Source organism: Homo sapiens, chromosome 1 (genome assembly GCF_000001405.40).
Source record: "Homo sapiens chromosome 1, GRCh38.p14 Primary Assembly".
NCBI lineage: Eukaryota > Metazoa > Chordata > Mammalia > Primates > Hominidae > Homo > Homo sapiens.
The window spans coordinates 62,651,280-62,663,765 of NC_000001.11; the positions used below are offsets into that span (position 1 = coordinate 62,651,280).

General features: G+C 35.5%; 1 protein-coding gene across 15 annotated transcripts in view; it reads right to left on the reverse strand.

Annotated features, from left to right (window-relative positions):
* DOCK7 (dedicator of cytokinesis 7) overlaps positions 1-12,486 on the reverse strand; it is a 233,661-nt gene that overhangs the window by 196,554 nt on the left and 24,621 nt on the right. For all 15 annotated transcript variants that reach the window (XM_047432967.1, NM_001272001.2, NM_001272000.2 and 12 more), the window contains exons 2-4: positions 11,746-11,851; positions 2,705-2,880; positions 2,446-2,514 (exon numbers count right to left, since the gene is read on the reverse strand). In XM_047432967.1, the coding sequence (XP_047288923.1) occupies positions 2,446-2,514; positions 2,705-2,880; positions 11,746-11,851 (351 nt within the window). The remainder of the gene's footprint in view (positions 1-2,445; positions 2,515-2,704; positions 2,881-11,745; positions 11,852-12,486) is intronic.

Sequence of the window (12,486 nt, forward strand, 5' to 3'; positions counted from 1 at the left end):
CACAGGGGCCTGTTGTGGGGTGGGGGGAGGGGGAGGGGGAGGGATAGCATTAGGAGATATACCTAATATAAATGACGAGTTAATGGGTGCAGCACACCAACATGGCACATGTATACATATGTAACAAACCTGCAAGTTGTGCACATGTACCCTAGAACTTAAAGTATAATAAAAAAAAAAAAAAGAAAAAAAAGAAAAGTTTATCGCATGGCTCGCAGACCTCTGTAAGGGGGGAGCCCGAAAAAAAAAAAAAAGAATTCTGTGGCTTCATCTTATAGCTATTTCACTTTTCAGCCATATCCACACCGCCATTAAGCCCATCTGCTGAGTCTGTAATACTTTTTTCACTAATCAAAATTTTAATTTCCAAAGATAACGAATTGATTTTTATATGGTTAAAATACCTTTCACATTTCTCATGCACATTATTCTCATGTATGTAAGTGTATTCTTTACACTTACAGATCTTAATCTGTGTTCCATTAACTATTTCCTAAATTATTACTTCTTTTATTTGTAGTTGGATAATTCTATTTCAAGTGTATTGGTTTGCATCAAATACTTGGCAATTTTGGGTTCTATCTTAATTTTTTAATTTGTATCCCCCACATCTGTCTTAAACTACTGTATCTGCTTACCCCAGCCCATATCCAGTGGTTGCAGGGAAAGGGCAGATCACGCCACCAAGCAAAGTCTGCCAGTACCTAGTCTTCTGGGTATGAGGAATCCTTCTTCCTCCAAGATGTGCTCACCCTGGGCGCTATTCTATTAGCCTAAGCCTCCACAATTACTGATCCTAAATAAATAAATAAATAAAGGCAGATATCTCTGCTGTCACTGTGCACACATGGTGGAAGAGGTTTCAGAGTAACTACATATCCAATATTTACCAAGTCTCCCTTTCCATTGCCTGCATTCACTGGTTCTGAGCTTAAAGCACTACTGAAGCTTTTGCATGTATCTTCTCCTTAGATTATTCTGTACTATAGTTTTCTCTTACATTCCAATCACACCTATCTTCTTTGTTTCAGAGATACCTCATAACTTCTAGTTCACCAAAAGTACTCCCTTTGGTCTTCCACTTACCAGTGCATATAATGTATAATATCTAGTATAATAGAAAAAAATAAGGGCTTTAGAATCTGATGCCCCTATATTCCAATCCTGACTACTCTATTTTTTGGTTTGTGGGATCTCAGAGAAGTTACCTAACTACTCTGAGCCTGAGCCACCTTATCTGTTAAAACCTTAAATGAGATGAGTGCAAAGTGCCCAATAAAATGCCCAGCACACAGTAAACCCATAAATGTTAATTCTCTTATCCTCTTGCCTAAACCAAGGTTAACAACCCTGTGCTTAGAAGTAGCAGATTTCCATGATTCTGAGGTCAATATATTTTACAACTAACCTTTTTATTAAGATTTCTGATTATAGGTTTCTAACATATATGCACAGAGGTAAAGACTTTTGAATTATCTGACTGAGAAACAGTATTCTTCAGTAATGTCTAAAATTTGGCTACCAGAATACTTATCAAAATTGTAAGTTCATAAAAACAGCTCTTCTATATAAAGGGCAGCAGACTGTGCTTTTATTAGGTCACACTGAAACTAAAAAGCATGTCAGCATTATCCCCCAGAGTGATATTTAGCACAATGTAAAGCCTAGTGAAATAAGACAGCCATGAGGGCAAAACAATCAGCAATGGATATATCACTTTTGCTAGTGCTATTTTGCATAGATTATTTCATTTGTGAAAACTATAATGCCGTATCAGAATTCTCCACTACTTCAATCATATCTCCTTCAGAAAAATCAAATAAGGTTAAGAAGATTCAGTATGAAGACCCTTCTCCATTATGCAAATTAGCAAATGATTATTGTGTAAATCAGTTTTATTATACTTCTTAATCTGACTTGCTATTGCACAGTTTATTAGGAAAATAAATTTTGGCTAGAACAAAACATTATTTTTTACAAATATTTACCTGATTGGATGTAGAGGTCAAAGACCTATAAATATTAGTTAGAAACAGCAGAGACCTTTCAAATAGCTTGGTCTGTAAAACTGCCTGTTAATTTTAACTTAGCTATTTAAGTTTCACTAAACTGGATTCTTTTTGAGAAATACAAATTATTCATCAATATCTACCCAATATTTCCTAAAAGAATTAGACCACAAAATCATTATCATACATTAGTAGCTCTTAATGATTTATAATAATACAGAAATACTATTTTCCCATGAATTATATTTTACAAAGAAAGTAAAAGTATTACAGAAATCCTAAGGAGTAAATATCTATACACAAAAGTTCTTCTTTTGTTTCTTCAGCTATTTTGTTTAAATAAATTTTCAGGTCTCATAAACATTACGAATCTGCCTTAATCCATTTAGAAATCTTACTCAATATTTGTAAATGTTGTAATAAACATATAACTTACTTTCTGATGACAATTGCCCAGTCTTCTGTATAACTTCTTATACAGTCTCTAACATGTGGATCCATTTCACTATTTTAAAAAGGAAAATACATTTGTAATTTAGACGGGACAGCACTGATGTTCATTAATTTGGTTGCTACAATCGCTGTTTGCGTAACAGGAAATGATGATGCTATAAGAAGTAGGCTCTAAATAAAATAATGGAAGGTAGCCTTTCTATAGTTCCTCTAAAGCCAAAAATAAGTCAATGTCTCCTTACCTTTCTTCAGGTACAGCTGAAACAAGAGTTCTGCAGTCCCGAGGACTATAAACAACTTCAATATCATCTGGAGGAAATTCAATCAAATCCCGTAAAGGCCCAGAATCCACAGCCAAAGGATGAGTAATGAGGTAATCTTCCAAATCCACTGGATCTACTGCTTCGGTAAGGGGCACCTTTGTAAAAAGTTGGGATAAGAGATGGGTAGAAAACAAGAGGTGAATGTAATAATTTTAAAACTTAAGGCAAATAACATTTTTTTAAATAAAAGCTTTTAATCTAGTTCTTTCTAAAATTTTCACAGATATTCAACCAGATGCACTAAAGAAAACACAAAGTGTTACCCTTCTTGTACTCCTTGATGTTTTGGGTCATACTCTCTTTAATGTCCTTGCTGATACTTTGCCCAGAACTCTCACATAAAAACACTAGTAAGAATTAACAGTTTTATTCTACTTTATAGTTTACAAAGTACTCACTGGAAGGATTATTTTTGCTTTTTTATATCTTTGGATATTAAAAAAAAAAGTAAGTTGCTACGTTTCTAAACAGTGCTCTTACTTTATTTCTTGTTTTTGTTGATTATCCTAGTAAAAACATATAATCAGACTGGGGTAGGCTAAAAAATGTCCCTCCAAAAATTCTCCACATCCTAACACATGGGCCCTGTACATGTCACCTTATATGGAAAAAAATAAAAAATAAAACAGTCTTTGCAGATGTAATTAAGGATCTTAAAACGGGAGTATTATGCTGGATTATCCAGGTGGTTTCTAAATGCAATCACATATATCCTCATGAGGAGACAGAGGGAGATTAGGCTATACACAGAGAGAAAAAATTTGTATAAAGATGAAAAAGAGAGAGATTTGAATATCCTGGCCTTGAAGATAGAGATGATGTGATCACAAGTCAAGGAATGCCAAAGCCATCAGAATTTGGAAGAGACAAAGAACTGATACTCCAGGAGAAATCTGAAGAAAGCACAGCCCTGCCAAAACCTTATTTTAGTCCAGTGATACTGATTTCAGACTTTTGGCCTCTAGCACTGTGAGAGAATAAATTTCTTTTGTTTTAAGCCACCCAGTTTGTAGTACTTTGTTACAGTAGCCATACGAAAGGAATACACAGGCCCTATTAAAACTACCCATTAATAATAATAAAAGACTGGTAGCATTCTTCAGCCAAGTTTTTAACCAGATACTTTTTAATAAAATACCATACTTCTTATCTAGTTCGAAAAAGAAAAAAATATTCAGACAAACCTATAAAGGATATAAAACAAACATGCAGTTATAGACCAATGAAAATAAGAACATGTTATTTCTCAGGATAGTCATCTGGAATAAAAACACTGAAACCTGCCTCTGTGCAGGTGCACATTATTAATCTGAAGGTGCTTTAACCTATGCTTCTTTGGACTGAACTTTTTTTTTCTTTTCTTTTTTTTTTTTTTTTTGAGACGGGCTCTTCCTCTGTCATTCAGGCTAGAGTGCAATGGTGCAATTTCAGCTCACTGCAACCTTTGCGTCCTGGGCTCAAGGGATTCTCCCACCTCAGCCTCCCAAGTAGCTGGGATTACAGGCGTGAGCTACCATGCCTCACTAATTTTTGTGTTTTTTTGTAGAGACAGGGTCTCGCCATGTTGCCCAGGCTAACTTTGGAACTCCTGAGCTCAAGCAATCCGCCTGCTTCGGCCTCCCGAAGTGCTGGGATTACAGGTGTGAGCCACGGCGCCCAGCCTGGACTTAACATTTTAAAGATATTGAGTAAAATAATAAATAACACATCTTAAACACTCAAAAGATAGTAGTTATTTATCATTATCAGTATATGCCATCTCATTTAAACTTCCCCCAAACCCTGTAAGTTAGATATAATTACTATTTCAATTCTACAAATAAGGGCATTTGTGCTCAAAAAAGTTAACCAACATCTGAAAATATAATAGCCACAAAATGGTAGAGCAGAAATTTGAAACTGGGTTTTCGAGCTCTAAAATTTTTTCTATGATTTTTTCTCTCATAAGCCTTCTACCTTACCTATCTTATTAAGTACAAATTATTCTATGATGTTCTTAACAAAGAAAAAGAAAGCAATCCAACAGGAAAAGAGAAATCTTCTTTAACCATTGTTATTAGAACTGGATATCCACATATAAAAAATGAACCCCAATCTTTGTATCACAACATATACAAAAATTAAACTGAGATGGATCACAGACACAAACATACATGCTTAAAACTATAAAGCTATTTGAAGAAAACACAGCAAAATGTCCTTACAATTTGGGAGTAGGCCAAGTTTTCTTACACATGAAAAAAGAATAATCATAAAAGAAAAATTTGATTCCTTAAAAGACACTGTTAAGAAAATGATGAACAAGCCACACTAAGAGAAAGTATTTACAAAACATTTGATAAAGGACTAGTAATTAGAATATATGAAGAAGTCCTGTATCTCAATAATTTTTTAAAAAGCCAAACCCTCAAATAAATGGGAAAAAATAAAGCACATAAAAAAGTGCTCAAACATCAAAAGTCACTAGGGGGTACTTTCCCTTCTGGAAAGATGAAGTAGAAGTACTTTTCTCTATTCTTTCCACTAAGTACAACAGCCTAGATATTACATAGAAAACAAACCTAAGAAGACTCTGAAAGGTATAGAGAAAAAGGCTGGCCGGCAGGGACATCAGAACCCAGGGAATGGCATGACAGTGAGTTACTTCAAAATTTCTTTTTGCCTTATACATTCCAGACTTAGAACCAGAAAAGCCCACAACCCAGAATACACCAAGAAGCCCTAGGGGTGGGAGGGCCGGGGGGTGGGGAGCCTATTTTCCCCAGCCAAAAGATCAAAAAAGAAGCAGCCTGACAAAACAAAAAACATTTAGACTATAACTGCACAAAGGCCAAGTGGGGAGCTAGATTTCTTCCCTCACAAAGCTGTAACAAGGCATCCCAACTCTCCCCACCAGGGTAGTATCAGAGAAGCACAAGTAGGGTGTTGGGATTTTCCTATCTACCGAGCAATAATGAATCTCTTACTCCCAAAGTCTCAGTAGAGACCACTAAGGGAATCTGGACATCAACTCCTATGAAGCAGCAACATGGCTCCTCTTTCCTTTATCACTTGGGAACTGTCAGAGAAGGTCTAGTGGAGAGTAAGTACGTTCACCAATGCCTAGTGTAACAAGGTCACACACCCTTGGGTGTCAGTGGTGGCCATGTGAGGAACAGTAAGGAGCACTACTACCCTTCCCAGCTAAATAGTGTGGGCTGTGGTCCAGTAGAAGTGGGAACCCTCCCTCCTGCTCAACAGTAAGTAACAAGGAGTCCTTCCCCTCCTTGTGTACCAAAAGAAGACAAGTAAGAAATCTGAACTTCTACTCCGTCTGGCCAAAACAAGATAGCATCCACCTATAACTAGAGCAATATCAAAGAAAACCAGCTAAAATATGTTTAAATAAGACCTAGAAATTAACAACATAAGACCCAAAAGGTCCAAGTTCCAATAAAAAAATCTCTCATCATACTAAGAACGAGGAAAATCTTAACTCTAATTAAAAAGACAACTTATAGATGTTAATACCAAGATAAGTGATCTTAGCATTATATGACAAAGATTTCAAGGCAAACATCAGAAAAATAATTCAACAGCAATTGTAAACACTCTTAAAATAAATGAAAAACCAGAAACTCTCTGTAAAGAAACAAAGTCTCGGCAAAGAAACAGAAGATATAAAGAACTAAATGGAAATTTTAGAACTGAAAATTCAACAGACAAATTCAATAGCAGAAAAGAGGGGACAGAGGAGGTAAAAATCAGCTACCTTGAAGAAAGAAAAATAGAAATTATCCAATCTGAACAGCATTAAAAGAAAAACAGAGTGAAAAATCAAAACAAAACAAAAACAAAAATAAAAAACATCTTCAGGGACAAACTACACTAAAATATCCAATACTGGCATCACCAGAGTCCTAGAAAGTGAGAAAAAAGAAGGCAGGGCTGAAATATATCTGAAAAAACAATGGCTGAAAACTTCTAAATTTCATAAAAAGACATAAGCCTACAGACTCAAGAAGCTAAGCAAACCTTAAACAGGATAAACCCAAAGAAATATGTACCATGACACAGCAACCAAATTTAGACAAAGAAAAAAAAAAAAGAAAGAAAAGAAAAAAGAAAGGCCAGGTGCAGTGGCTCACACCTGTAATCCTAGCACTTTGGGAGGCAGAGGCAGGCAGATCACCTGAGGTTAGGAGTTCGAGACCAGCCTGGCGAACATGGCAAAACCCTGTCTCTACTAAAAATATAAAAATTAGCCAGGCATGGTGGCGGGCACCTATAATCCCAGCTACTCGGGAGGCTGCGGCATGAGAATCGCTTGAATCTGCCTCCAGGAGGCAGAGGTTGCAGTGAGTCAAGATTGCACCACTGCACTCCAGTCTGGGGGACAGAGCGAGACTCAGTCTCCAAAATAAAATAAAATAAAACAAAATCTTGAAAGCAGTGAGGAGAAAACGACACATTACCTCTAGGAGGAAAAAATTCAACCTAGATTTCTCATAAAAAATCATGGCAGTCAAAAGAAAGTGGCACAACATTTTTCAAGTGCTGAAAGAAAATAACTGACCACCTGGAATTTTAGATCCTGCAAATATCCTTGAAGAATGAAGGGGAAGGCCGGGCGCAGTAGCTCATGGCTGTAATCCCAGCACTTTGGGAGGCCAAGGCAGGTGGATCGACTGAGCTCAGGAGTTCAAGGCCAGCCTGGGAAACATGGCAAAACCTCAACTATACCAAAAATTTACAAAAAATTAGCCAGGCATGGTGGCATGCACCTGTGGTCCCAGCTACTCCGATGGCTGAGGTGGGAGAATTACTTGAGCCTGGGAGGCAGAGGTTGCAGTAAGCTGAGATTGCACCACTACACTCCACCCTGGGTGACAGAGTGAGACCCCTGTCTCAAAAGAGAAAAAAAAAAAAAATGAAGGGGAAATCAAGACATACTCCGATAAAATAAAACTAAGAGACTCTGTCACCAGCAGATCTATTCTAAAAGAATGGCTAAAAGAAATTCCTTAAACCAAAAGGAAATAATAAAAGGTATCTGGAAATATAATAAAAGGTATCTGGAAATATTAGGAAGGAAAAAGAAACACAGCACGAGCAAAAAATATAGGTAAATACAATAGACTTTCCTTTTCCTCTTGACTTTTCTAAATTGTCCAGTATGATTCTAAGTGTTTATAGAAAAATGTTTAAGACAATTATATACAGGAGAGGGTAAAGGGATGTAAAAATAGGTAAGGTTTCTACACTTTACTCAAACTGGTAATATATCAACACCAATACTGTGATAAGTCATGGATATAACACAATACCTTGTGCAGCCACTAAAAAAGCTATACAAAGAGATACTCTCCACAACACTATAAATCAAAATGGAATTCTAAAAAATGTTTAGGTAACCCCAGAGAAGTAGAAAAAAAGAAAACAGAGAGATGAAAAATAGAGAATAAACAAAAAATAAAATGGTAGATTTAAACCCTAACAGAGTAACAACATTAAATTACAAATTTATACATTGTATTATAAATGTAAATGTAAACAGTAAGAGATTAGCAGAAAGGACTTTAAAATATGACCTAACAATGTGGTATCTACAAATAACTCACTTCAAATAACACAACATAGGTAGGTTGAAAATAGAAGTATGGAAAAAGATATACCAGGCGACAATTATTCAAAAGAAAGCTGGAGTGGCTAAGTTAATAAGGGAAAACACAGACTTCAGAGCAAAGAACCGTATCAAATAGAGAGGGACATTACCTTCATTATAAAAGGAATGATCCAAGAGGACATAGCAATCTTAAATGTGTATGTACTAAATAACAGAGTTATACTCTGTGTATGTACTAAATAACAGAGCTATAAAATAGGTGTAGCAAAAACTGATTGAACTGAAAGAAGAAATAAGACATATCACAATTATACTTGCAGAATTCAAGAGATCTCTTTTCTGCAGATTCTAGAAAATCAACAAGGATACAGTATAATTCAAAAGCACCATCAACCAATAGATCTAACTGACATTTATAGAACACTCCACCCGATGACAACAGAATATACATTCTTTACAAAGGTCCCAAAAGTATACACCAAGACAGACCATACTCTGACCCATAAAACAAACTTCAACAAATTTAAAAAGAACTGAAATCAGACAGAATGTGTTCTCTGACTATAGTAGAATCAAACTAGAAAGTGGCAACAGAAAGATAATAGGAAAATCTTCAAACACTTAGAAATTAAACATACTTCTGAATAATCCATGAGTTACAAAAGTCTGAAAAATGAAATGAAAAAATACATTGAACTAAATGAAAATACAACATAAAATTTGCAGATAGGGAAATGTAAACCAAAAGTATAAGTGAGATACCACTTGGTACCCATTAGAATGGCTATTATTTTTAAAATGGTTAATAACAAGTGTGGACAACAATATGGAGAAATTTGAACCCTTGTGCATTGACGGTGGAAATGTAAAATGATACAGTTGCTAGGAAAAACAGATTGGTGGCTCCTCAAAAAGCATACAATAAACACAGAATTACTCTATGATCTAGCAATTCCAGTTCTAGGTATATACCCAAAAGAACTGAAAACAGTAAATCAAAAAGCTAATTGTACTCTCATGTTCATAGCAGCATTATTCACAATAGCCAAAAGTTTGCAAACAACCCCAATGTCCATCAAAATTAATGAATAAACAAAATGTGGCATATACATATAATGGAGTACTATTCAGCCTTAAAAATGAATTAAATCAGCCACGCATGGTGGCTCACATCTGTAATCCCAACACTTTGGGAGGCCAAAGAGGATCACTTGAACCCAGGAGTTCAAGACCAGCCTAGGCAACATAGTGAGACCCTGTCTCTATAAAAAATACAAAAATTAGCCAGGCATGATGGCATGCGCATGTAGTCCCAACTACTCAGGAGGCTGATATGGGAGGATCACTTGAGCCTGGAAGGTCAAGGCTATAGTGAGCTATGATGGTACCATGGTACTCAGCCTCGATGATAAAGCAAGAACCTGTCTGAAAAAAAAAAAAAAAGATACAGGCCACAACCTGAATAAACCTTTAAAACATTCTGCTAAGTAAAATAAGCTAGACACAAAAGGACAAATACTGTATGATTCCACTTACATCAGGTACACAGAAGAGGCAAATTCATAAAGGCAGGAAAGAGAATATATTATCAGGAGTTGGGAAGGGGGGAAAATGGGAAGTTATTGTTTAATGGGTACAGGGTTTCAGTATGGGATAATGAAAAAGTTCTGGAGATAAATAGTGGTGATGGTTGTACAATACTGTAAATGTACTTAATGCCAGTGAATTGTATAAATAAAACTGGTTAGAATGGTAAATTTTATGTTATGTATATTTTACCACTATATCTATTATATATACAAATATAGCATGTAAGTATATATTATACATATATAAATATTTTTTTAAATTCAATTTTTTTCTAATTCAGCGTTTTTTGCCCAGATATTATTTCTAGGGCAGTATATAGCTCAGAATTTAAAATGTCACAAATAAATACTCAGTGAAAATAATGACAAAACCTGGGAAGTCGCTACCTATGACTAATTCAATGGGTTCATGGATTCTAGGTCCTAGTGATGTGGAAGGACAATTGGAGTCAGGGTACCAGAACAAGAAGGCCATAAAGATAAGACGTGGTGATCAGAGAGTGGGAAGTGTAAAACTAAGATTACATATGGGTTATAGTTATTCATAATGACAAAAATCTAAGGTCTGATTATAGAAATTTTGAGTAGTTAAGGTGTAATTCAGGATGCAAAATAATATCACTGGAAGAGAGGCGTTCAAGACACCAAGAGCATTTTGGAAGGATTATCTCCATGTACATTGAAATCAGCCAAAAATCCATATATTCTAAAATTTCTGCAATTAGCATGTTACTGTAATTAAAAGTAAACTTTATGTTTTCAAATTTTAGTAACACAAACATTATATCATTATAAGTCGATCAAACTGTTATTTCCCAGTTTGTTCAATAACACGTACCCTTTCACAGCTAAATGGAAAATGCTAATATATAACTCCACCCTATCATGCTTATTTGCTTTTTTTAGTTTCCCACAGCATTTTGTAAAAATGACCTCTAATTTTAAGACAAATGGAGGTATGTTTTTAATTCATATTTCTAATATAATAAATATTAGTTTTTATCAAAACTGAATTTCCTCATGCCAGCTTCTTTAATAAGAGAACATTTATGTCTCTGACACAGTACTGGGCTTACAGTAATAATTCAATAAATATAAATTCATTTATCTTAAAGGGGACAGATAATACTACAAACCCAAATAATTTACTTCGGTGCTTGTTTCTAGAATAGATTCCTAAATTTTCACATAATGAATCACCTTCAGTCTTTAAAAGTTCTAGGGCCGGACGCGGTGGCTCACACCTGTAATCCCAGCAATTTGGGAGGCCGAGGAAGGTGGATCACAAGGTCAGGAGTTCAAGACCAGCCTGGCCAATATGGTAAAACCTCATCTCTACTAAAAATACAAAAATTAGCTGGGCATGGTGGCACATGCCTGTAGTCCCAGCTACTCAGGAGGCTAAGGCATGAGAATCACTGGAACCCAGGAGGCGGAAGTTGCAGTGAGCCGAGAACGCGCCACTGCACTCCAGCCTGGGCGACAGAGTGAGACTCGGTCTCAAAAAAAGAAGAAAAAAAAGTTCTAAATGTAAAATTCCAGGATTGATTAAATCCTGACTATAAAGTTTCAGAGTTGGCTAGGAAACTAGCAATTCTATAACACCCCCAACATCCTCTCCCAACTCAGATTTCAACAAAATGAGGTAACAAGTAAGGTTATGAGACTAATGACGGAACCCAATTAGCTCTTATCTTTCCACTATTTTTTCATGGCCTAGTCAATCATACACCAAGAAGAGACTATATTTTGAATACGTTACTTACTGTGGTGTGATGGGATATATTGCCAACAATATTAAGGTTTTTGAGCAGTTGGGGAGAACCACTATATTGTCCGGAGATCTGCTTCCTAACTTCGGCTGCCACCGTTCTACAATGAAGAAAGCAAAAACATACGCATTATTGAAAAAAAAAAAAACTAAACTAGTTTAAAATGGAGGGAAGCTAAATACATTAAAGATTCATTTAAAGAAAAACAAAATCTCAGCATAACAATAAGGCTAGAAATTCGTAAAATATTTTAGGAAATGCTTTTCTAGTTTATAATTACATTACAACGTCTTATGTTGATGTAGGGTACAAGACTGACAGACAACCCATATGAGGTTTTTTCTTATATGGCATTTTAGGGAACACACTTTGGCCTACAATAGAGCTGCAACTATAGAGCTGGCTCTGTAGTTGGGAGCTATAAAAAGATGTGTATATTAAAATGTATATACTTTAAAGTATACACTTAAAATGTATATTAAATTAAAATATATATACACTTTAAAGTATAAGAATTAGGAATAAAAAACTCTAGAGTGTTTTCAAGCTAATGATTTAATTCAGAGCCCTGACCATCTTGGTCCCCATTAGAGTTTCCAGCTGAGTTTCAAGATAATCTCATTTTCCTAAAAGTATCTAGATTTAAGATATAATCTTTTCTCCTGCTTCTCTTCAATTCCTCCTTCCTTCTTTCATATTCAATCATTTCACACACTTTTACTGAGCACTGTTACG